The 27,304-nt window shown below is 36.0% G+C and overlaps 2 long non-coding RNA genes and 1 pseudogene across 3 annotated transcripts; 2 read left to right on the top strand and 1 right to left on the bottom strand.

Moving 5' to 3' along the window:
* Positions 1-386: 386 nt before the first annotated feature.
* Positions 387-27,304, top strand: LOC105370714 (uncharacterized). 2 transcript variants are annotated; one of them, XR_007064500.1, is made up of 5 exons: positions 387-1,710; positions 4,007-4,133; positions 6,342-6,497; positions 24,700-24,805; positions 26,978-27,304. It is a non-coding gene; the product is annotated as an uncharacterized LOC105370714 (long non-coding RNA). The 2 variants fall into 2 exon arrangements; XR_007064499.1 differs by lacking the exons at positions 24,700-24,805; positions 26,978-27,304 and adding an exon at positions 8,782-12,543.
* On the bottom strand, positions 6,549-14,108 carry LOC124900633 (uncharacterized). Its single transcript, XR_007064501.1, has 3 exons — positions 14,061-14,108; positions 9,523-9,563; positions 6,549-6,626 (listed from the first exon to the last, which is right to left on the bottom strand). It is a non-coding gene; the product is annotated as an uncharacterized LOC124900633 (long non-coding RNA).
* On the top strand, positions 17,103-27,086 carry NBEAP4 (neurobeachin pseudogene 4; annotated as a pseudogene).

Raw genomic sequence — 27,304 nt, 5'->3', positions numbered from 1 at the left:
CTAAAAGAATAAATAAAACTGTTACATCTCAAGAGGTAATATGATATTAAAAATTGATTATGTGTACTGCATCCATTAAAATTCACATTAATAAATAATTACTAGTTTTTAACATCAATATGTTACATAATTCTTGTATCAAATATATTTCTTGGGAAAGAAAATAAACAAAATAAAAAATAATATTTTTAATACCAGGAATTTGACCTAAAAAACTAATTAATTAATACATGTTGAGCAGGAGTAGAGAAGAGGAAAGTAAAAGTGTGATAAGTCTCTTATATAGGAGAACCAGTAATAGTCTTCCATTCTTATAATTGGTTGAAAATTACATATATATGCTAATCTCTGTGTATATGTATATTTTTATATACATATAATGTGCATATGTGAATATATATATAACTGTAGAACAAAAATGTGCATTCTACAAATGGGAATATAGAATAAAATTTGTAGAAAAAATAACTAATAGGAAGAAAGAGGAGCTACAATGACATATAATGTATAGGGAAGAAGAAAACAATAAGTATAAATCACAAAGAATAAAATAAAATGGCAAAATAAGACTATACCTGACTTGGCATAGTGAATATAAATGGCTTAAAAGATAACAATAAAAGGCAAATAAAATCAGATTATATCAAAAGGTAAAAATCTAAATTTACTAATTATAAGAAGCACATGTATAAACAAATTGACAAAGAAATGTTGAAAATAAAGGGATTCAAAAGTTTCCCTGGTCAAAAGGAACATAGAAAAGTTAGAGGAATAGACAGGTAGAAATATTAGAATCAGACACAGCATCATGTATCATGGCAAAAAATATGAAATGGATAAAATGATTATTATACACCTGTAAAAGTTACAATGCACAGTGCAAACATAAGCATCACAAACAATCCATACACTGAGGAAATACATAAAATAAAAACTGTTAGGAAGGAAAGGAAACTTTACATAAAACTTTAACATAACTGTAACATACATCTAGGAGATAAAACAGAATTTCCGGAATGACAAAATATCTTTAATAGGCATGACTAAGCTTTACACTATACAGAGAATATGCCTTTTTCTGTAACATCCACAGAACAAACAGTAAAATTCACTAAAATGGTTTTAATAAAGTGTGAGTATTTTGACTCATCCACCCCAAAAGGGCGTATTCTTTCTACACTAATTGTATAGCCCAGGATGTTAGGAATTAACCAATATTCTTTAGTCCTTGAAAGATCTTAACCTTGAAAACACTCAGAGACAACATACAAATAAAACCCACACCAGCTTTTCTGTGTGCTTTATCTGACTGTAGTAGGCTGAATAAAGGCCTCCAAAGATGTCCCCATTCTAAGCCCTGGAACCTGTGAATGTTACTTTACATAGCAAAAGGGACTATGCAGATGTGACTAAGAATCTTGAGACAGGGAGATTTTCCTGGGGATTATCCAGGTGGGCCCTAAATGCAATTTCAAGTCTCTTTATAAGAGGGATTGAGAAGGAAACTTCATCAAAGAACAGGAAAAAATCAGTGTGACCATAGAAGCAGAGATTGAAGCGATGTGGTCACAAGGCAAGGAATGCTGGCAGCCACCAGACACCGGAAGTCAGGAACAGATTCTCCCCCGGAACCTCCAGAGGGGAGACAGCCCTGCTGTCACCTTGATTTTAAGCCAGTGATGTTGATTTCAGACTCTGGCCTCTGGAACTGTGAGTAAATAAATGTGTGTTGTTTTATCCACTAAATGTCTGTTTTAAGCCACCTACCACAGGAAAGTAATACTCTAACCTCCAGCTAGTTTCTCTCTCTGGGACTCTCCCTGTATCAGCAATGGTACTATCACTTTCCTTGTCACCCAATCACCATGAACTTCTCCTCTCTCGCACCCATACCCAAAGTAAGGGGTAGTGGGAATGGGTGGATTTTCATCCCACCTCTTTTTTTAATGAATAAATTAAATAAAAGAGTATCTCCACAAGTTTGCCTACCTATCATTTTAAAGTAAAACCACCGTAAGTTTGATTGTTGACCTCTCTGGTGAAATTGCTAGAAATAAAGAAAGTATCTTACCAACCTAAAGGAAATGGAGATAAAAGAGTTGGAGAAGAAGCAGGATGCCTAAGCCTCGTCTTTAAAAAAGAGGTTTTTTACATATCTTTCTCTTACCAAACTTTAGGTTGCTAATACATTTATCACTATAATTTTATTTTTAATTAACATTCCTGGTGAAAAATGGACACATTTGATAGATTCAGAGGCTGTAATAAAGTCATCTGTCCTAAGAACCAGGAAGCACACAGAGTGATGTAGTTCACTAAAGGTTTCCCCCACCTCGATTTACATGGGCCTTAACTTTCAAGAGATTCAACATGGCAGCTTTAATAATAATAATAATAATAATAATAATAATAATAATAATAAAAGAGAATCTTGTGTGTCCTTCAATAGTTGACTGAAAGTGTGGCAGGCCAGGTCTCACTAACAGCTGAATAGGCAGGCCTCCATGACAACTGTTTCAGCACTGACTGAGTGGTTAAGATAAATATTAAAAACTGATGGGGCCAATGTCCTCATACAAAGGCTGGAATGTAACAAAACCCACCAAGAGTTTTGCCTAGGTCTTCCCTGGGCCTTGAAGTATGACAAGATAACGAAGGAATTCCTAACAGGACCCATTTAGGATTAAACAAGTTTTATTGGGGGTCTAAAGGAACTCCCTAGACCTCCACAAACAAGCTTTACTGGGGACTAAAGGAACCTCCATGATTTAGCAGGAGACAAGATAAGGGTAATCACCCTGGCACCTGGACCCATTTAGATTAAGAAAATTTACTAAGGCTCCAGAGGAAGGTCTTCAGTACTCAGATTTTAGTTATAGGTTAGAAGTTGATTACTTGGCCGGATGGGGTGGCTCACGCCTATAATCCCAACACTTTGGAAGGCCGAGGCAGGTGGATCACCTGAGGTCGGGAGTTTGAGACCAGCCTGACCAACATGGAGAAACCCCATCTCTACTAAAAATACAAAATTAGCCTGGCATGGTGGTGCACACCTGTAATCCCAGCTACTTGGAAGGCTGAGGCAAGAGAATCACTTGAACCCAGGAGGCAGAGGTTGCAGTGAGCCGAGATCGCGCCATTGCACTCCAGCCTGGGCAACAAGAGCAAAACTCCGTCTCAAGAAAAAAAAAAAAAAAGTTTATTACTTATGTCTTTAGATGAATGCACACTTACATACTTACACATAGACATATAGCTTAGAAGGTGTATAAGCTCTGGAAAACTTTATAATTTTGAGTTGGTCTGGCAATATTTCCCAGCCTTCTCTCTGTACCTAGTTATATAAATAAACTCCCTTCTATCCAGTTCATCTGCATCTCATTATTGGGCCATGAGAATAAGCATAAAACAAACCTTCCTTTGATGCTGGTATCTAAGCACCAAAAAATAGATACCAGCATCAAAAGAAGGTTTGGATACAACCTTCTTTCATTTTGTTTGGATACAAGGAGCTAGTTTGGGTCTGCTCCTTTAATGTATCTATGCTCATATTTTCCTTCCTCAATTATAAAATAAAGTAGAGGTGAACACTGTGGTTAGCCATAGATTAACCAAGAAAGCAGAAATCATCTCAAATGTTCACAGCAGAAGGAATGGAAAGCAGTGGTGGGTCCATGAAGAGTGGAGAGGCTGAGAATTAAACAGAGGGCTCTAAAATAATCCTGGGAGATTGACGATAGCAGGAAGTCTTTATCATTCTTGGGCTGGAGAGACAAAAGGAAAACATGGAATTACTGGCACCAAGAGGACCACTCTGGGAGACTGGATCTCTGGTGGCCTCGATACAATGGGGGCTGGAGTCACAGAGAAGATAAAGCCACTGGAGAGGCCACCTTAGGCTGAAAACAGGAGGGAGTGTCTTGATAGCTCCCTCCCCCAAAAACCGCTCCTCACCCTGCTCTCTAATTTTCCATGGTTGATATATTCCTGCTGCCCGTTGACTCAGTCCTTTCAGAAATTCTCTAGAGCCTGAAAAAGTCACCCTGCCGAGGATCAACTTCTTCACCCCAGAACAAGGCAGAGCAGAAGGATGGATCTGAGTGCAAACAGGTCCAGGACCAGCACACCATATGGTAAAGTGTTTTTATGGTGTTATATAATAGAATATATCATTGAATTCAACTCCTTCATTTTACAGAGAGGAGCTAGGGTCCAGAGAGATGAAACTGTTTACCTAAATGCACACACACAGCAAGCTTTTAGGTCTGAACACACAGCATGCTTTTATTAGGATTGTATTAGTTATGACACTGCTTAAGCCCTATTATAAAGTTCTTGGGAGCTGAGTCATTTCATAGTCATCCCTAGTACCTGATACAGCATCTGGTGCTTAGAAAACTCTCATTAAAACATTTATTGAATTCATACAGATTGAAAGAGAAAACATAGCCTATCAACTGATCTAAGGTAGCTTTAGAAAATTTCCAGTCATATAAGAGTTACTGAGCAAAGACTGTCAAAACAAAGCAAAGTCTTTGTTAAACAAAGACTGTCAAAATTATGCCTCTTAAATGTTTCAAAAGGGAATCATACATTCTCACTGGCCTGTGACGGTTTAAATTTTCTATGATTCAGAACAAGAACAAAGATATGTTTCTTTTAACTCTCATACTAAACTATTATTTGAAATAATAAAAAGGATGTCAGCAATGAAAAGCTGTACAGGTTGTACAGAACAGATTGATACAAATAAAAAGCTAATAAATATTTATGTGGCCGTGTGTGGGAGGTGTTGCCTGGAGTGTTTCCCCCACATCCCTGACTATGGAGTGAAAAAGGAAACTTAGGAAAAAATATACCCAAAGAGGGAGATTTAAATAGCACAGTGGGCAGTGGGGGAAGTGATGACTAATATTGCTGTTAGTAGTGGTTTAGGAACAAAAGAGACAAGTCAGCTGGAAACCTTCTGGTGTCTTCTGCTAGGGCTCCTTGCTAAAGCTGATGCTGGAAAGGAGGAAGGAAGGAAAGAAGGAAGGAAAAGAGGGAGAGAGGGAGCGAGGAAGGAAGGAAGGGAAGTCATTAGAATGTAAGCTGAACACCCATTTGGTGCTTTTGGCCAAACAATAATACACATGTTTAAAAGTTCATTACGGTGGGAACCCAACTTAAGTAGAATTAATGAAATTGATACAGAACTTGAAATTCACTACCTAAAATTATTCATTAAAAATGCAACATGCATTGAATTAATGTAGCAGCACCTGAAGGAAGTCAAAGAAACTCCAGTTTGAATTTTGGGAGAAAAGAAAGTATCATTTAATTTGAAATAAATGAAAAGAACCTAAAAGAGCAAATGGCTAAATAAGTAGAAGAGGTTTTTTGCAACCTATAATTACTGGGGGATTTTTTTCAGGAAGCTTCAGGAAAGAAGCTCCGACCCTCAGATTAGTCATTCATCACCCAATCACTGGCTGCTAAATTAGAGGCCAGGAAAAAGAGATCAGACATGTGCAAGAAGGAAGAAGAAGAAGGAAGAGGAGAAGGAGGAGGAGGGTGGGGGAGAGGGAAGAGGAAGGGAAGGAAGGGGAAGCAGCTGTCACTTTTTTGTTTCAGTGAAACTATACAGGGCAAAATCCCATTAGAGCTTTCTGAGAAGTTATGTCTGGGACAGATCTGATGGTAGGCTTGAAACTTCGAACAGAGTCCAAGAAAAATCCCCCCCTTTTTTTTTTTTCTTGGTTTTGTAGAATTTAGAACTATTTTTCTAGGTGTCTGAAATAAAATAAAATTTTAAGTAGTTGAAATGTTAAGTAAATTGTTTTCAACAATTTGCAGATTTATGTCAGAATATATGTTATGGGATTAAGCAGATAAAATAATAATATTAAACATCAAAGTAAGAATAGTGTGAGAGATGAATAATTTAAGGCAATTTCAGTTGCATGAGGTTTTTTTTCTTTTTCTTATGAATAAAAATATAATATAGTTTTATTACTCTGTAGAGAGGTTAGTAAACTAGGAGAAACTCAAGAGGGGAAATGCAAAACATAATAAAATAGAATACATTCGATTTTAAAAGAATGTCTGTATTTCATTTGAGTGCTGGCCAAAAGATAATGGCATTTCTTGGAAGAAAAGCAGTTATCAGAATTTAAAATTTCAAAAACCTGTATTAGGAAGACACATCACTTATGTAGTATGTAGTATTCTTGTCAACAATATTTTGTCTAAATCTAATCATGATGAAACAATCAGAAAAATCCAAATTGAGAATAATCTGTAAAAGGAATGGTCTTTGTTTTGTTACATGTATACATATATGTAAATATATATCCCCAAAGCCGACCTTGAGAAGGAAATTCACTGAGCCATTCCTTACGAGTGTTCCCAGGAGAAACAGGAAAGTGAGAAGTCAAGTCGGTCCAAGAAGAATAAAGAGGCCAAGCCCAGTTGCATATCAGCAATCTCACAGAGAGAGCTGCCTCAGTCCCTCGAGGGTAAGTAGATGACCTCAGAGTTGTCCCATCAGTTGCTGCTTCAGAGCCACACTTTCAGCTCATCCTTGCACTTCATGCAATCTGTGAGCCCCACAGGCAGAGCAGGTCCTGGCTGCCTGAGGTTATTCCCTATGAAAGAAGCAGATCTAGGTTCCCACAGCAGTCTCGGCTGTAACTAAACAGAAGGCTTCATTCATGATTGGATTAAGGATGGGGGAAGGGCAGGTGGCTATGAAGGTTATTACTTGGACCACAAGGACAATTTTTAAATGAGCTGTACATTAAATATTTAATTTTATTGTTGTTAAATTTTGAGTGTGATAATTATGTCACGCTTATGTGGAAGAATATCCATGTACTTATAAGATACATACTGAAGTATTTAGGACAAAAATGCTGTGTCTAAATTTATTCTCTAATAGCCTCACAAAAGAAAAGTAATATTGATGTGTATGTGTGAGTATATGAATGTATATACACACATACGTGTATACATATACATTTAGTATGTTTATGTATATGTTTGTAGACAGACTAAAATAGAGGAAAATATGGAAAAATGTAAACAAATGGTGACTCTAAGTAAAAAGATATATAGATATTTATTGTACTATTATTTTAACCTGTAAGTTTAAAATTTTTCAAAACAAATAGTAGGAGAAAAAAATTAGCACTTGTCATGGTAACTTTTTTTCAAGAAAAGTTGTGTTTAAGATCAAACCAGGTGCGGTGGTTCATGCCTGTAATCCCAGTACTTTGGGAGGCCAAGACAGGAGGATCACTTGACCCCAGGGATTTGAGACCAGCCCTGATAACATAGTGAAACCTGTCGCTACAGAAAATTTAAAAATTAGCTTGGCATGGTAAGCTGTAGTCCCAGCTACACAGGAGGCTGAGGTGGGAGGGTCGCTTGAGCCTGAGAGGTCGAGGCTGCAGTGAGCCATGGTCATGCCACTGCACTCCAGCCTCAATGCTTTTATAAGTGTTCTTATATAAGCAATAAGTAAATTGCTTATATAAACTCTTATATAGCTATTTATTTATTTTTTTGAGATAGGGTAGGCAATACTCTGGTAACAAACCATCCACAAATCTCAGTGGATAAAAACATAAAATCATTGCATATTGCATTAAGCTGCATTGAAAACCCAGTAAGAAATTTGGTGTAAATAAAATGAAATAAAAATGGGAAAAATAAAGTCCTTAAGATCATTGTGTTAGGAAAAATTGTCTACTGACTTCTTGACAACAGGACTTATTTATTTATTTTATTTATTTATTTAATTATTTTGAGACAGCGTCTCTTTCTGCAGCCCATGCTGGAGTGCACTGGCGCCATCTTGGCTCACTGCAGCCTTGACCTCTGGAGCTCAAGTGATCCTCTCATTTCGGCCTCCAAGTAGCTGGGACCACAGGTGCGCCACCCAACCTGGTTAATTTTTGTATTTTGTGTAGAGACAGGGTTTTGCCAGGTTGCCGAATCTAGTCTCGAACTCCTGGGCTCAAGCCATCCATCCACCTGGGCCTTACAAAGTGCTGGGATTATAGGTGTGAGCCGCTGCGTCCAGCCAGGACTTCTGATTTCTTTACTGTTTATTAGAGGATGGACCCTATTCCCTCCAATCATAACTCACTTTTTAAAGCAGTGATTCTCAGCCCTTTTGGTTTCAAATTTTTGGTAGCCTATTTAAGGAGGAGGTTAAGATACCCAAAATATCGCCAGTCAAGTCCTGAATCATTACAGTGCATACTTCCACCGTAAAATTCTGTCCCAGAGTGTCTGAAAAGCATCCATAACAACTCATCAGCTCCATGTAACTAACTGCTTCAGTGAAAATGATTATTGTCTTGACCTCATTTCTTTATACTTAAAAGGACAAATTTCTCATATGTTCCAGAAAGTATGCCATCTTTATTTAGCACTATGCAGCTCATCTCTTACTTGCAGCAAGTTGTACCCAGTCTACATAATTTCTGTAACCTACTACTCCATCCAGCAGTTATTTTTGACCAGCACTGCTGCAATAATACATATACTTGTTTAAGCAGAAGTTAATCTTACACATTGGTTTTGACAATACCACTGTTTCACAGATATTTCCTGTTCTGTCTCCTTACATCCATATGGTAAGATTGTACATGCTGGTCCCCTTGTGGTGGGGTTAGGTGACCAGTTCTAGCACTTGTCACCCGTAAGTGATGAGTAGAAGTGACAATCCACTTCTGGGCCAGAGTACTTAAATGTTGATGGTAAACCCACCACATTTCTCTCTTTTGCTTCCAGCACAGTGACCCATGATATTCAAGGTGGTGGCTCCTTTGTCAGATGAATTCCTGAGTGACCATAAGCAGAGATCTCCTAACGACCCATGATGGGTAGTGTGAGCAAGTATGAACCATCTAGTGGAGCAAGAAATAGTGCCTATATAAGCACTGAGATTTGAGGATGGTTTGTTACCAGAGAATTGCCTACCTTATCCTGACTGATAATCAGATGTAATAATATACCTCTGACTGGTGTTGGCTCCATCATACACCAGGGAAACAGCTGTTGTCTAGTACTTATAACATGTAACTCAAAACCCCTGGTTTAAATGAATTCCTGAGTGCATTATGCATAACATTTGTATAATTGGCTTTTGTAAACAAGACATTGCTATAGTTCTTCACAGAATTATGCTAATATCGATAGATTATTCTTCATTTATCTTTATCTGTTCTGAGCGACTGAAAGAGGAAAGATTTGTTATGAGAACACATAAATACAGTATCATGAAAGGGAAAGAAAAAGTTCTGTTTTGCGGAAGGCATTAGTCCCCTTTGTTAGTCAAATGAAGAGAGACTATTCATTATACTTTAATCTTAAGGAATCCAAGATTGCTAAACTAATGGATGACATGTGACTAAGGAATGAATTAGTTGAACTTTATTCTATGAGTTGCCACCATGAACTGTGCAATTATAGCCAGGTCCTTTAAATGCTTTGAATGTTTTTCATGTGCGGATAAGATTATTTCAGACCTACCAGGCCTTGAAGAAGGATCAAAGTCTTGTCAGAGCTTTTGCCTAAAATTGAAAATATCATGTTACTTGGACTATTTATTTATCCCTGCACCTTGTTGCAAAAAGGATTTTAAGTAGATGGCATATTATTATTTTATTAACACATTAAAAAAAACCCATAAGAGGATTATAGAGTTTTTCCCTAACCTACTTCTCAGAGTGTTTTAAGCACACTGTAGAATTTATTCACTCATGAATTTGATACAAACTAAAGTGAAAATCTCTTCTCTGGAACCTCATAATGCTTAGAAAGCATAGTAACACGTTCGGAGAAAGAGGAAGATCAAATTTAGAGGAAGCTCTTGTTTGAGTTTCTGCCACAATGAGTTTCCCATTCTAGATATTAAAATAATAGTATATACCCCAAATAAAATACTCAAGTTTCTGTAAATTAAGGATTATGACTTGATTATACATATTTTAGATTTAGAGCATGCATAAAAAAATATCTTTTTCACCAACTAGTAGAAAAAAATTCAAAATAATGTGATGATTTTAATCTTCCATGATATGTAATCTAAAATATCAAAACATCACTGACTTTGCATTATAATTAAATATAAAAGGTGACTGACTTAAGCCAAATTTAAAAAAAAAAATTGAGACAAGGTCTGTGTCATCAGAGGTGGTAAGCAGTAGTGCAAACACAGCTCACTGCAGCATTGACCTCCTGGGCTCAAACTCTCCTCCCATCTCAGCCTCCCAGGCAGCTGAGATCACAGATACACACCACCACACCCAGATAATTTTTTTTTTTAAGTAAGGACAAAATCTCACTATGTTGTCCAGGTTCCAAATAAATTTTAAGAGCCTAATTTTAACTATTCAAAAACTAAGCAAATACCTGAAAATTATTTCTTCTGAAAAACACATACTAAATAAAAATCTATTATACTTATGGATTTTCAGAGGTCTTCATAAGTATTAACTCATAAATTCTTGTGGCTTTCCCAATTGTCACATGTCTCCTTTCATGAAATATTTTGTAAATTTTTACTATGGTATTGGACAGAGCATGAACCTCAGAATTGCCCAAATCTGAGTTCACCGACTTAATCAAGCACATATTAATATATAATCTTGGATAATTTATCAATTTAAACTGAAGAGCTTTATCTTCAACATTTCTAAATTATGCGTGTTATAAACAATAAATCAGGTTATTCCATTACATTTAATAACTAGCAACCCACACTGTGATAAGTGTCAGTAATGCAACAGCACGGTAATATATAGGCAAAGCACCAACCAGAAATTAAGTATCTGTTGAATTTCTCTCTACTCTCCTTTTCCCTCAACCAATTCCTGAATAAATGTAGGGAGAAACAGGAATGTTTTAAGAAATCTTCTTCAACTAATATGAAATAGGATATCTGAAGACTCATCCTTCTGTCTTCCTAGTCTATAGTTTGTTCCACAGCTATTTTTGTGACTAAAGATACTAAAATTAGACATTATTTTTATCTCTAAATTTCAAGGCAGTTGTTAAGAACTATGACTAAACTACCAAAATAAAGAAACATAGAGGAATAATGAACATTGACTACAAACTAAACTGATTGTCACATATTCTATGTGGTGATTTGAGAGACTGCTTCTCATACACTGTAATTCAATGAAAAAATAGCATATACAAAATGATTACTTAGTAAGAAAAATTCAAACTTAAAACGAGTTGTCAATGTGACATGCCATGTTAGAAATGAATAATAAAATGTGTGCCAAGGGCTAAGTAAGGCATTTTTCCCTTTTTTTCTCTTTTAAAAAGGACTACAAAAGAGCAGTTTTTTTGGTTAAAAGAATTAATGAAAATTGCTAAATCAATGACGCTTTCAGAAGTTCCCTGTTTTTGACATCAGAGTCATATTATAATGCTCTATTTCCTGTTTCCTCACCTAAACAGAATTTTGCTTCAGGCAATTTTTTATCTCAACTTCTGTTTGTAGAAACCAGGGACATTTATTGAATTGTTTCTGGCTGGCTATTTGATCGTAACAAAGCATTTAAATGATACTGATGCCCTGGCTTGAGCAACGGAGCATCCCAGACTTTCAGTTAGTTGCACACAGCACACATACAACTCATTTGAGTTACAGCTAAATGCAATTACAGGCCTCAGAGCTAATATATAGATCACTTCTTATTTAAGGCAATTCACCTTTGAATTGGTTAACCTTTAATTGTTCATAAAATAATAAGATGGGAAACAAAGTTGCTACCCAATATGTTAGTTTCCCCAAATAAACACTTATTTAAAGGTTCATTTGTTAATCAAGTATCTGGAAGTTGAAATACATTTTTATGAAAGGAAATAAATTTTAGGTGATGATTAGGTTTTTATCAAGAGCTGAAGTTTTTAATAACGAACAGGGAGAGATACTATGGCAAAACAGTAATTGAATAAAACATAAATTCAATAAAATGATATGAAAAATCAATGTTTGACATTTATTGTGCAGTGCTGGCTGGGTGCAGTGGTATGAGCCATACCACTGTGTACATCCTCATCTGTCTACCAAATATGGCCCCCAGGCAGTTTGCTCAAGGTCACATACTGGTGGAACAATAATTAGAAACATTTTATCATCCTCAATTTAATTCTCTTTATATTTGACTCAGGATAAATGTCAAACATTGATTTTTCATATCATTTTATTGAATTTATGTTTTATTCAATTACTGTTTTGCCATAGTATCTCTCCCTGTTCATTATTGGTATGAGCCATATCACTGCACCCAGCCAGCACTGCACATTTTAAGTGTATGTTCTATGAGTTTTGAGAAAGGTATACATGCATGTAACCACCTTGCTAATCAGGATATAGACTATTTCCATCACCCTCAAGGAGTTCCCTTTTGCATTTTGCAGTCCATCAATCTTCCTCTACCCCTTAGCTCAGACAACCATGAATCTACTTTTTGCCATTATAGATTAGATTTTCCTGTTATAAATTTTTATGCAAATAAAATAATATACAAAATACTTATTTGTGTCTGGCTTCATTAACATAGGATAATGATTTTGAGATTATTGATGTCAATCAGTGTTATCGTTCATTATTTATTTCATTGTTGGATGGTATCCCATTAAATTGATATACCACAATTTGCTCATCAATTTACTTTTCTGTTTTTGAGTTGTTTCCAGTTTTTAGCTATGATGAATAAGGCTACGGTGAACATTCATGTACAAGTCTTTGTGTAGACAATTGTTTTCTCTTGGTAAATACTTAGTGGTATTATTGGGTAGTATGGTAAATATATGTTTAGCTTTACAAAGTGCTGCACCATTTTAATCTCCCACTGGCAATGTATGAGTGTTCCAGCTGCTCCACATTTTTCCCAATATTTAATACTGACAACTTTAAAATATTAGACAATCCAGTGGATATATAGTGATATCTCATTTAGATTTTAATTTGCAATTCACTGATGATATACTATTGAGCATCACATCTTTCATAATGTACTTTATTTTGCGAAGACACATACCCAGCATATGGAAGACCCTCAATAAATATTTGTTGAACTTACACAAATTGAATACAGAAAATGCAGCTCATCAAAGGATTTGAGTTAATTTCCTGGCATTTATGAAATACCGAGCAAGTTATCAAATGATAGCACTTAAGCTAATTCTCAAGTATTTAAAAGAAAGTGTACATCCTCATCTGTCTACCAAATATGGCCCCCAGGCAGTTTGCTCAAGGTCAAATACTGGTGGAACAATGATTAGAAACATTTTATCATCCTCAATTTAATTCTCTTTATATTTGACTCAGGATAAATGTCATTGATTTTTCATATCATTTTATTGAATTTATGTTTTATTCAATTACTGTTTTGCCATAGTATCTCTCCCTGTTCGTTATTAAAAACTTCAGCTCTTGATAAAAACCTAATCATCACCTAAAATTTATTTCCTTTCATAAAAATGTATTTCAACTTCCAGATACTTGATTAACAAATGAACCTTTAAATAAGTGTTTATTTGGGGAAACTAACATATTGGGTAGCAACTTTGTTTCCCATCTTATTATTTTATCAACAATTAAAGGTTAACCAATTCAAAGGTGAATTGCCTTAAATAAGAAGTGATCTATATATTAGCTCTGAGGCCTGTAATTGCATTTAGCTGTAACTCAAATGAGTTGTATGTGTGCTATGTGCAACTAACTGAAAGTCTGGGATGCTCCGTTGCTCAAGCCAGGGCATCAGTATCATTTAAATGCTTTGTTAAGATCAAATAGCCAGCCAGAAACAATTCAATAAATGTCCCTGGTTTCTACAAACAGAAGTTCAGATAAAAAATTACCTCAAGCAAAATTCTATTTAGGTGAGGAAACAGAAAATAGAGCATTATAATATGACTCTGATGTCAAAAACAGGGAACTTCTGAAAGCGTCATTGATTTAGCAATTTTCATTAATTTTTTTTAGTCCTCTACGACGGGCAGCTAGCAACTCGACAGGAAAATACAGGAACCTGAATAAACCTGACCTGTCTTCAGCATCATTTATATACTGCGGTTATGCCCACGGAGGTTCCTGGACTGCATGTTTTGATTGGATGAGAAAAAACCTCCAGGCTTACTCTGATTGGACTTTATTATCATGTTCTGATTGGTTGAGAGTAAGTCTTAACACAACCAATCACAGCATGAAAACAAAGTCCAATCAGAGTAGGCCTAGAGGTTTTTTCTCTCATCCAATCAGAACATGTAGTCCAGGAAACGCATTTGCATAACCTCGGTATATAAAGCATGCTGAGGTCGTATCAGGTCATTTCAAGCTCTTCTGTGTCTAGAGGAAGAGCTACCCCGTGACCGGCTTAGAGAACTGGAAGAGGCCGCAACCTTTCTCCTGCTTGAAGCTGGAGGATGGATGGAGTCTGGAGCCCTGGAGCGTGGGACACTGTTTCGCTGTGGTTGGTGGTGGCGACAGAGCAGTAGGAGAGCGCCCGGCAGCGGGAGCTTCTCCTGCTGGGCTGGAGGACTAGGAGAAGGAAGAGGCACTGCCACATGCTGGAGGCTGGAACCTGTGCCACCGTGGCTGGCCTGGCTCTGGTTGGTTCGCCTCGCTGTGGTTGGTGGTGACGTCGGAGACTGCAGCTCGGTCACAGTGGTAGAAATGTGATGGGGTAGGTGAGTTTCCCGGGGCTGCCCTGCACGCCTCTGGGGGCAAGGGTTGGGTGTCCTACTGGGGCTCACTGCTAGAGGCTACCCTGCCTGTGGCAGTGGTCTGGTTGGGGGCACTCTCCGGGGTGGCATTGCTGGTGGTGGGGCAGGTTGGCTGGCTATCTGGGGCTATACTGCCTGCGGTGGCAGGGGTGGTCGGGGAAAGCAGATTGTGTACACTAGCGTATACTGCCGGTGGCTGGGGAAGGATTAGGGGCGCTATCTTCTGCTGCACTGCCAGCGGCAGGGGGTGGGTTGGGTGGAGTTATCCAGGGCTACAATGCTGGCAGTCGGGGGTGGTTTAGGGACGTTGTTGGATGCTGCACTGCCTGGGGCGTTGTTGGGTGCTGACTCGGGGTGGTGCGCCATCAAGAGCTGAACTGTCCGTGGCGGGGTGGGAGGAGGTGGGTTTGGGATGGTATCTAGTGCAGCAACTCCCGTGGCTGGGTCAGATTTGGGGCACTGTTGGGTGGTACACTCCCTGCAGTGTGGGGGGAGTGCTTTGGGGGAGGTATTGGGGTTACATTGCCTGAAACTAGGGTGTGTTGGATGTGCTATCCGGGGGCTACACTGCTAGTGGCAGGGGTCAGATTAGGGGTGCTGTGGGGGCTACACTGCCAGCGGTGTTGGCGAGCTGAGGTGGCGGCAGCGGCAGCGACAGTAGTGGCCGCCTCTTTCCTTCTGGTGGTCTCCAGGTAAGGGATCGTTCTTCTATTCCCGGACTCCAGACTCTAGAAGGCGATCTTCTCCTGCTCGTGCTAGATTGCACGGCAGGGCTCCCACACCCACTGTGGTTTCCCGGCACGCCCTCATGCTCTGTGTTGCGGAGACCACCTGGGACTACCAGGCAGGGAGTAATAGGCACCCACGGGGGAAGCAGGGGACAGGGCACTGTGGGTGGAGGCGTCAGGAATGGGAACCAGCCCTTGGGTGGGGAGGGCTGGCTGGTTCTGAGTTTCTCCTACTCGGGCTCCCTGAGGAGGGCAGCCCTGGTGGGCCCAGCAATTCCTGGTCAGCTGGAGTTGGCCAGGGGCCGGTTTCAGTGAAGGCATTCACTCCCACCCCAGACCCCAGTTCCTGGCCAGCTTTTGCCAGAAGGAGAGGCTGGACTTTGGAAGGTGGATGTGAGTGCCTTCAATGAAACTGATGCCTGCCACCCAGTCACCAGCGTGACAAGGTGAGGCTCTAACGGTTCCACTGTCTGAATCCTGATTTGGGCTTTTCTGGCTTTGCCTGCCCAGCTACTCCAAGCCAGGCTGAAGGAGGAGAAGGCGAGGAGTCGCCTGTGGTAGGGTCGAGCCTGCAGATGACGTGGTTCTGCAGCTTGCCTCATGCGGTTGGTGGTGGCGATGGAGACCACAGATCGACCGGAGCGGGAGGAGGGCACCCACGGGGGCCAGGTGGTAGGAGCTGGTAGGGTGGGCTGGTACATTGAGGGCGACAGTGGTTGTATTGGCATTGGCGCTAGTGGTGGTAGCAGTAGGAAGTCTGGGGGCCGGGAAGGGGGAATAGGAGCACTGCAGGGCCCATCCCACTCTGGGGTGGGGAGGAACCTGTGGGTGCTGTAACACAGGCTTCGGTGGCAGTGGTGGTGATATACCTAGGGCAAAGAAGAGTTCTCCCCCTTTCTCCTGCAATCTCTGGAGGGTGCCCTCCTGCTGGTGCCTGAGCTAGGCGTGAGTGGCAGCATTGTCTCATTCTTAACAAAATTTAGGGGATGACTATTTGTGTATCCTTTTGCTTGTTTTTTGTTGTGATAGTCTTTGAGTTACTCAAATTTTATGAATCGAGAAGGGGATAAGAGGTATTATAGGCCTTCTAATTCCCATACCTGTTCTTTTTCCTTTCTTCCGCTGTGTGTTTTCTTCTCATTTTCTTGTTCCTCTTCATTTTCTTTTGCTACTGCTTCTATTTCATGTTTGTATTCTTGTTTCTTCTCCTGTTTTTGTTTTCTTTCTCCTCCCTGTAATCACCATGATTTATAATTCTACACTTGTTTAATTGTGTCATATGTATTTCTTTTATAGCTCATAATTTCTAGGAGAACTAGTCAGCCTTGGGTATCTGCAGTGCCTGGCACAATGTAAATTTTAAATGAATGAACATAAATAAATTGTATTTCCACAATTTTGAATCTTGGTATAGTGGAAAGAATATCACTCTGGAGGTCAAGGGGCTGTAGTTCTTGTCTTCTCCATGAATATTCTTTATGTGCCGCTTCTACCATCTGTGAAATGAGGGATGGGAGGGGGAGCTTGAGGAAGTGGTATTAGATGATCATTAATAGTTCTGTCAGCATATTCTTCTAGGGTTTTATGAATGTTATAATTGCATTTTAGACCGTAATAACCAAACATTACATATTGATATAATTTTTTATGTAAGTGGTACATGATCAGCATTGTCCACATTTACAATCGATGGAGGAACAATGAAATTCAGTGTTACGTTAATGGACAACTGGTATCTTATGGTGATATGGCTTGGCATGTTAACACAAATGATGTAAGTCTATTTTTCTGTCTGTGGTTTAATTTGAGAGTATGAGCTATCATTACAATATGAATTGAATAATAAAATAGTTTGGTAGAAACTTAAAACTTTGAAAGTTTTTTTTTATTAAACGAATCTTTCATTGTTAAATTTAGTATAAGAAAATTGTTAAAAGACATGATTAGTGATACAAAAACAGGAACATTTGGCCAAAGTTTTAAGTTTTTTAGATTAAAAAAACCGTGAATCCTGTATTCTATTTATTCCAGCATCAAGCACTAAAAAATGTGGTTTACCCCTTATTTAGATACAGAAAGAAGACCCTAAACAGAAGGATAACATATAGTCACTATTATTAATTACATCGTGATAAATGCTATGGAGAAAATAAATTGGGGATACAGAAAGTGTAGTTGTAGGGAAGGGAGGAGCCGGATGGTCCAGAGATGATTTTAGTAGGAAGAGTTGAGCAAGCGAGGTATGTGGGGAACTTCTTCTATTCAGTGGGAACAGTGAGTGCAAAGGCTTTGAGGCGGAATAGGAAAGTTCAAGGAAAAGGCAGTTTGTCTGGAGCAGAGGGAGGTAGAGGCAGAATAATAAGAGATGAGGTTAGGCAGAAATCATTTTGGCCTTCATAAGCAAACGTAAGGCCTGGGCTTTCGCATCTTACTCAGCTTAAAAATCCTTGGAAGGTTTTCAGCAGACAAGTGATGTGTGCTTATATTTTAAAAACATCAGTCTGCCTGCAGTATTGAGAATATTTTGAAGGGAAATTACAGAAGCAGGAAGATCACTTAAATGGCTTATTGCAATAAAATAAAGAGATTATATGAGTTTCTACCAGTATGTTAGCAGTGGAAGAAGTGACACAGTTGGATTCTAGGTAGAGAACAACTTGAATTAAAACCTCAAGGGTCCTTACGGTTTCTCTACTTGGGGCTTTCCATTGTCTACATTCTGGCCTGTCAGAGTCAAAGTAAAAGGTTTGTTTTAATGCTGAAAGTACTTCCAAGCTCAATAATATACAACCCTTCAAGCATACCTGGTTTTATAAGAACTTACCTCTTAAACACAATTCATTTCTCAGTTTTGTTTGCATCTCTCTCTAGGCTTTAATTTCCCAAAGGGCAGGGATTTGCTTATCGTGTCTTGTATTCGTTTAACTAGCACTGTGTGTATGGTCCACAGTTTGTCCCCTAGATCGGGGCTTGGCAGACTACACCCTATGAGCCAAATCTGACCCTCCCCCTGTTTCTGGTTTTGTGTAAGCTGGGGCCTAAGAATCTTGGCTTTTAATTTTTAAAGGTTTTTTGTTTGTTTGTTTCTTGAGACACAAACAAAATCAAAGAAGAATGGGACAGAAACCAGGTGTGGCAAGCAAAGTTTAAAATATTTTCTGTCTGTCCCTTTATAGAAAAAGTTGCTTTTCCCTGCCGTAGAAACTCATGGTTGTGCCACAACCAATTAATATTTAATAGAATGTTGTTTTCAGAATTAGAATAGACAGATGAAATTCTGCTTTTTATCTTCTCTCCAGAGGAGATCTCTGCAGAGTCTTTTTATTATAGAGTGGAAGAAATCCCAGTGGTCGTCTTGACTCATTCAATGAGAAGACAGTATCTTGGAAAGAAAAGACTTCGTTTTTTGGTTATTTGTAATAGTGCCCTAAGAAGTGGAGAATTCTAGATAATGACACATACTTTATGCAGTTAAAGTTTAAGTTCCTATACTTCTAATTAAAGATTGGGTATTTAATGACGACAGTTCTTTTTGCCTTTGTATGCATTCACAATTCTTTTTGTTACTTTATTGAAGGACCAAAAGTACTTCTTACATATATGATTCTTGCTTATTCATTCTAAGGTGTGAAATAGCCTTTGAGGATAGGGGAAGGGAACTGAGCCATGACTGCTTTCCCTGGTTTGGGTGGGTGGGGTGTAAGATGTAGAGGCTGGAAAGATCTTAAGCTTTTGGCTTCTTCAGTGCTGAATTCCTCAATGTGGAGAGCACTGTACCATCTGCTTTAAGCAGCAGATTATAGTCTTATTGTGTGTTTCGTTCTGTGTAGTTCCTACTCACACACGAGCGGGGATTTATTTTCTTTGTGTGTTTTACTAAATATGGAGGAATAGAGGAATAGATTCATAATTTCAAAAATAAAGTTGAATTTAAAAAATTAGACCCTATGTTTTCATGATTACATTTTGGAATAGTCATTCCCTTGATTCAGATCAATCTCTCTATATATGGATCATTATACATCATGACAGTTTTAAATTATTTTAACGTTTGTAAATAAATAAATATAAGCTCTTTTGCCTTTAACTATAATATTTGAAAAGTAAGTCGGAAGACTGAGTAGGTGGCTATTGTTTTGTTTGCTTAAATGTAAGTGTAAAACATGTAATTGGTCATTTTTCCCAAAAAACTTGACTGGCATTTATTATTTAAATAATAAAGTCTTAATTGATGCTTTCTTCTATTATTATTGTTATATTTTAAAATATTCCTAAAGGCCGATTTAAGGATTTAAACCTTTTCATCATTAAAAATAATGCATTTTTAATGACTTTTAAAAATAGAGCTATGACAAGTGCTTTCGTGGTTCATCAGAAACTGCTGATGCAAATAGCGTATTCTGTGCTAAACCTGTTGCCATTCAGTGAAGCACTCAACCCAGCACAGATATTTGCAATTCATCAGTTAGGACCTAGATATAAGGTAGTAATAACTGTAATTTTATAAATTCTAGAGAGCGTTTTAGATGTAAAATGTGATGTAATATAACTTTTAGTGAAAATCTTTCTTTAATACAGTTTAAGAGTCATTTCTATTTTTTGGAATGTAGTCAGTTTTTATTATATGTTTCTTTTCGGTTCAAAGGTGCTTTTTTCTCAACTTTTTTTATAAACTTTTTTATTCTTCAGAATATTTTCTAATATTGATAGCATGCCTTTTAACAATTCTGAAATAATCTTATAAAACTGTTTTGCTTAATGTAGTATTTAAAATACAAAAATTTGAAATATATATTACATAATGAACATAATAAAGAACTTGTTAATATTACTGGTAACTTGGAAAGAAGAGTTAAAGATTTAGAAGGAATCTAAGATAATATATTTCATGGGCCTGAAATTATTTAATTTTAGTTTATATTTTTGCTTTAATTGCAGTGAGGAAGTAGGTACAGTAGTGAGTAAACTAATTTAGCAAAACTAATTAATGTAATTTATCATTCTTTCTGTTTTTTAAACTTTAAGAACAAAGACTAGGTAAGATATAGCATGCACATATATGAGTTAGTTTTAAATGTGCGGTACACCTGGCTAGGGGAACATATTAGGGTTCTGTTTAAATCACACTGGGAATTGTGAAGTCTCAAACTACTTAGAGCTGAAAGAGAATTACACATTATAGTCAAAGTGTTTATAATTCTGAAGGAGTACTTGTCTTGTACGGAAGTGTGGTTTTTTTATTGAACTCAATTTAATTAATGTGAAGATTGTGTAATGGAAAGGAAAAACATAAAAAAATTCCCTCTTTGGCCTCTGTATTTTTGCATTGGTATTTCTGTTTTTATTTTTGTCATATATATATATATATATACACACACACACACACACACACACACGGATATATATATAGAGAGAGCGAGAGAGGAAAGTTTGAATTTACCCATATTAAAAGATCTTTTTTTCTCAGTGACTTTAATAACCATGATAATATTGAAGGATAATAATGCTATTATTTTTATGTCAAGGTAACAATACTTGCTATCATATATTTTCCATATCATTTTTGTTTTTGTCCTACTAGCTCTAGAAATGAATTTGTGCTTGTCCAGCTACTTTTTCTTTCATGGGTCTTTTTGTCGAGTTTGCATCCTGGTTCTGCCATTGCTGATCTTGCATAGGAATATTTTTGTAATTCACATTTTTTATTAATATGCTGCCTGCTTTTCTTTTCTACTTCTTTGAGTTGTTTCATAAAATGCTTGCAGTATCTTTTTAAGCTCTAATAGAATGATATTAAATAGAGTGACAAGCAAACAAATGAAATATAAAAAGGTAGAGTATCAAGAAGATACAAATCCAATATGATTGCTAATGTGAAATCTCAGAATTGATGGGAGCTTCCTGGCAACATCAAGGAAAAGGGCTGAATATAAGCAATTTTGTAATTCTTCTATTCACAGAGAAGCAAACTTTGTCCTGAACAGCTTTGCAATCTCTGTAGTTTGTAGTATTCTTTTCACACGTCTTTCTCGTCATTCTTTTTAACAACAGTGATAATGAGCAGTAACCCCGGTCATCATACGTGCACAGCTCATGTGACGTAGTGTATCCTTAATATCCTAACACACAGTGTAGAGTACCTAAAGTCAGAACTTTTAAGAGAGATACCTGTAAATTTGGGCATTACATCAGAGAGTATTTTTTTAAGTTTTGAAAGTTCTCAGCTCACTGCACCCCTTGTTGTTAGTGGGGGTTGATAAAGCCAAAGGTACATGCATTTCCTCAATTTGTAAATAGTATAAGTACAATTGCACCATGACAGGCATCAGCAAAAATTTTTTATATTAAAAACCTTTTTTTTTTTTTTTAGAAATTCAGAGAACATAGAGAAGGAGGAATGCAAATGATCAGATTGTGTTTTGACAGAAGAAAAGCTGAGTAGTTCACACATAGTCAAAATTATCTTGCTAAAGTCACTCTCTGTGAGTGAAGCGGGGTAGAGGGCTACAGCGGAACTTTTAAGGTGTAGAGAATATAATTAACTAATGGACATTTGGATAAATCACAAAATGGAGTTTAAATTACTTAGTGTTGTATAATAACAGTATTTATATTTATTGCCTTCAGTTATATGGAACTTTCATTGTAATGGTCAGACAATATTTATGATTCTGAGCTTAGTGTAGATAGCATGTCAACATATGGGCTTCAAAATTAATAAAATAAGTTAATTCTACCTTCAAATAATGCCATCAAACTATATATTCAATGGAGCCTGTCACAAATGATTTTGACCTGTTGGTCACTGTAGTGCTAGGTAAATTTTTTTCTGTTGATATTTGGTTTTGAGCATTGCAGCTTATCAGTATATATTCTGTACTTGGTTATTTTCTGGAAACAGTAAATAAGTTAGGGTATCACTTATTAACTAAATAAACCGTTCATTTTGGAAAATACAGAAATACAGAAAATATTTAAAATAACAGAAAATCTCACTGTAGATTTGTCTAGTATAGTAAAATTTACTGCCAGGTAAGTTTACAGTGGCTATTTGGGGTTATTTAATGTCTTCAAGATTGTGTATGAGGTGGCCCTTTGACATAAGCTTGCAAATCAGATTTTAACAAAGTTTTTATATTTTATAATTATTACTAGACATTTTCTCATTGTTCTGTTAATCCCGTGTGGCAAGCAGTTAGTCTTCATGGCCAGATATTTGAAAATTTAGCTTTGAGTTCTCTCCTTCATTTATGAATATGATAGTATAATAGTTTTTATAATTTGCTATATCATAAAGAAGTTCTAACTGATAAGAGAAAAAGTATAACACAACCTCCAAAATTAAAGATCACTTCAGAGGATTTCTGATACTTGTATAGAGGGGTGAGCTCCTAACAAACTGATCTTCTCAAAAATAACCATTTGTAAACTCTGCACATAATATAGATAACATCTATCTGAGGATTGTGAAGATTGAATAAAAGCAGGCGAGGGTAGTCAAAATATGGAACAGTCAGTCTGCATGGACTGATATCCCCATTTTTTGCTTTTATAGGAAACTTTCTGGCCAGAAAGTTTCTCTACAGTATTGTACAGAGTAATAGTCACACTATTTAGCATATAATCCAAAAGTACTTATTCTAAAAATGGTCAGGAAAATGTGACTTATTCTCAAGGGAAGAGAAAATCATCATAGACCAACTCTAAGATAACCCACATGTTGGAAATATCACATGAGGTCTATTGTAGCATATGGTTTAGCCCTTTCTAATGTTGAACTGTGAAGGAAATTAACTCTTAGAACTTACTGTGAGTTTTTTTGTGTCACTGAAAATTATCTTGGATGCAAAATTGTTTTGGGTGTGGAATTGAATTGATTAATGTACAGTGAAGTCAATTTCTGCTATGATCACTCTTATTTAGGAAGAGTTTTGTAGTGAGAGAAATACTATAGAAACTATGATATTAAATATTTTACGTAATTTTAATCATCTTTTAAAATATTTCACTGTAATTCAGTCCTAAATTAGGCTTAAGAGATGAAACCTTTTGAAAATGTCAAAAGATTTTTTCCCCCTTACTGATAACCGTAAATCCGATTTGAAACTTAATCTACTTGATTACTTTGCAACATTCTTTTAAAAGTGGAGGAGGTATTGGATTTTAGGGGGGGAATCTTTACTTTTTACGTAAGTTATTTCCAGTCTTCTTAATAAAAAGATCTTTATTTAAAAAGCCAATCTAGCTGTGGTACTTTGCTTTTTCAGTAAAAACCAAATTGAATAGCCAGTTTATGTCTTCAGAGAGCTACCTTTGAACAGAACTTAGGTTTATATATTCACTCTTAATCATTTTAGTTATGAATTAGGTGTATCTTTATGATATATTGAATTCTAAATAATAAAAGTACCTCAAAAATAATAAAACTTCATGGATCACATTACATGAGTTATCTACATTAGTTATTTTAAAAAATTAAATACAAATTGAAATGGATAAAGTTATAGTAAAATAAGTCAAAATCTATATTTAAATTTTAATGGCATATAAATATATGTATATTATAAACAGGTTAGTTATGTTTTTATACATAGTTAATAAATATTCTCAGGTATTTGTGGGCCAAGACTGTTGTGGCATTCTTTATCAATAAAGGCCAAAAAGCTCTGGAGAAATAATAAATATGCTAATTTATAAGAGGTATTATTATGCTATTTCTTTCATTTTTTTCCCATGGTCTAACCCTTTACGATCTGATACTTGAAATAAACATTATTTTCTAACTTAAATTAAGCTTATTAAGAATTACAAGATGGTAATTATTTTTAAGAAAAAACACCCACTAGATTATTAGCATCATTTTCCTTAAAAAGATACAGGATTACAAACTCTCATCCATTCCTGAAGTAGAATTGCTACTTATAGAACATGTGTTATAGTACTGTCTGTTGAAAAGTTGAGCAATTATATATCATGACATAATAATCAGCATACTTTTGGTCTATAAAATAAAATACTCCTCTGAAAATCTTTTCCTAGGTATTGATATAGTTTTCAAGAGAGTGTTCTATGTTGTATTAGTTTTGGCTGACAACGATACTTGCTTTTTGGTTTATCCTAGAGTATATATTTAGATCCTCTGCAGATGAACTGATGCGTTCTAGAGAGGAAGTTGTATGTAGGAGATATAGGAATGGGCTGAAGTATCTTTTATATTTGCCTTTGTATCTAGGGAAGTTGGAAATAGGCAAGAATGGAGAGAAATTTTGTATGGCAGTACACAGAATTTTGCAAGTTTATTGTGAGCCTTGCAACAATCCGATGCATTTTAGTTACTGGTAAGTTTGTTGAATTATGTTTGAAAATGTACCTCTTCAAAGATGGCCATCTATTTACTATTACGTCCACCATGTCAATTATACCTTATTGTAAAGATTTTTTTTTTTTTTGCAAAGATGTGGTATTGCTATTGCATTGGGTTTTAGGTATAAATTGAAACTACCTTTGTTAGTGAATGCATTTGACATTTCAATTGGTGTCCTAGTTAATGTTGAAGTGAAATTAATACTTCATGGATAGCAGAGTCTTGTTAAGATTTTGGAATAATAATATTAATATTTCAGTTTTTATAATAGAGCTCCACTGTGTTTAGAGGTCTGAGTTAACTCATTAGATATTTGAGAATGAGTAGTTATTCTGACATAAAAGAATGAGAAAATCTGTGTCATCCTTGCAATTGTATATGGTTCTATATAGTAGGGTGATTTACTGTAAAATACTTTTTTGCCTTTTTTCATGGATCATAAGGACCACTGTGAGGCATTTCTAGTCTGTCTTTTTGGCAGTGCTCATGTTTAGGAATCCATTTTCCCTCAATCACTAACTTTGGTGTATGTAAGAATTCTATGAACAGATTAGGAAATTGTGTAATCTCTATGCATGGTTTTCTTTATTCTTTTTACACATCTAGGCAGATGTGTTATGTGTAATATAGTACTTAGCAATTATTTGTGAAGTGGCCTTGACTATTCAATTCATTTAAAATGGACTAGATTGCTTAATAGCTGTGCTTCTTTACAGAAACGTTTTTTAAAATCCCAAGAGACTCATTGGTAGTTGTAGTTTTCTTGTAAGTGTCTATCTTTGGCTTAAGGACAAAGTAAAAAAAATCATTGATATGTGATAGTTTACATTTTTTGTGGTTTAAGGATATAGGGTCAGTTAATATAATTGAATTTTAATTTCCTATAATGAAGTGCTTTATTTCTGGATACTATATTTTGTCTAGCTGATATGTAATTCATTAAACTATCAATTTTTATAATAATGACAATGATAATTTTGCTGTTGGTTCTTGTTATGAGAACATTTCTGATTTGAACAAAAGTAGCCACATTATGAGAAAAATACATTATCCCTATTGAAACTGGAAGAGCTAGAATAATTCAAAAATTAGAATAACTTCAGATTCCTTTCGGGCTTTAATAATTTTCAAGTTTTCCTTATTACCAAATTGTCTGAATTACTTGTAAGAATGAGTACTTCTGCATTTAAAATATGTTTAGAAATTTGTGGTTTTACCCTTTCTTATGAATATAAATAGGTAATTTAGGGTATATTATAAAACATTGTAAATTGATATTCTTTTAATTGTTGATAAAATCTGGTATATAACAATTTATTATGAGCTACATTAAGCATATACAGTGAAGGAATATGTATTTCCATTATTCAGAATACTATATTCATATATCAGTGTTGCTGGTTAAAATCATTATATGTAACTATGAAGTAATATATTATCAAAGCTTAATTCAATGCAGTCATTTTCTATTTTGTTTCTTCATTCATTCCAAAGACATACCAAGTGCTAAATCTTTGACGCCTCTGTCTGCCTTTATGTATTTGTTTATATACTGTGTAATTGTCACTTTTCATTTCAATATTACATAAATCATTTCTTTGCTCTCATGAGCTTTTCTTAGGGCATACCTGGACATAAGTGACATGTTACATATTCCTCTGGATTTTTTTTAACAAAGTGTTTTTGAAGAATAGTTCTAAATGAAAAGTTTATTTAAAAATAGGGCTTGTTCTTACAAAGCAATATTGCATCTATATTTAAAATTCTCTACAATAGCTTGTTATTCAAAATAATAGTATGATACAGTCTTTATTATGGAAAATGATGTGTGTATGTTTCTTAGGTTTACTTGAAGCCAGACCTATAAATATATGTAGAGATAAACTTTGATGTTTTACTTTGGAATGTAAAAAAACTACACAGTTATGATTCAGTTTATTATATTTAATTTGTAAAGGACAATAGTTTTCTCATGCTTATCAGGAAATATATTCTTTCATAATATAAGGCATAATAGTCATTGTCAATAAAATAGAGATTAGATTTGAATATGGTTATCTCTTGGCATAATAAAATACTGAAATTGGAACACTGTGTTTAGAATAAACGTGATGATTACATAATGATATCTGTACTTTACATGCAGTGCTACTCTTTCGGCATTCCTGGTTGAACTACTTAAAAGTTCAGTAGCCATGCAAGAACAGGTGCTGGGTGGAAAAGGCTTTTTAGTTATTGGCTAATTACTTGAAAAGGTAGGTGATGTGTTGATGGTTTTATTGTGTAGCCTCACAGTTGGACAGCTGACAATCACTAATTATATTTTTTCTATAATTTCACTTTCCATTGACTGTGTAGAGATTATACTATTTGCTAATTCACAAACACCTTAGATTTAAGTGTAGACATGGAATTAACTGGGTATTGGAAGCATAATTAAATTTTGAATTAAAAAACTAAAGAAAAAAATTTC

Source organism: Homo sapiens, chromosome 15 (genome assembly GCF_000001405.40).
Source record: "Homo sapiens chromosome 15, GRCh38.p14 Primary Assembly".
Lineage (NCBI taxonomy): Eukaryota > Metazoa > Chordata > Mammalia > Primates > Hominidae > Homo > Homo sapiens.
This window is presented reverse-complemented; position numbering and strand designations above follow the sequence as displayed.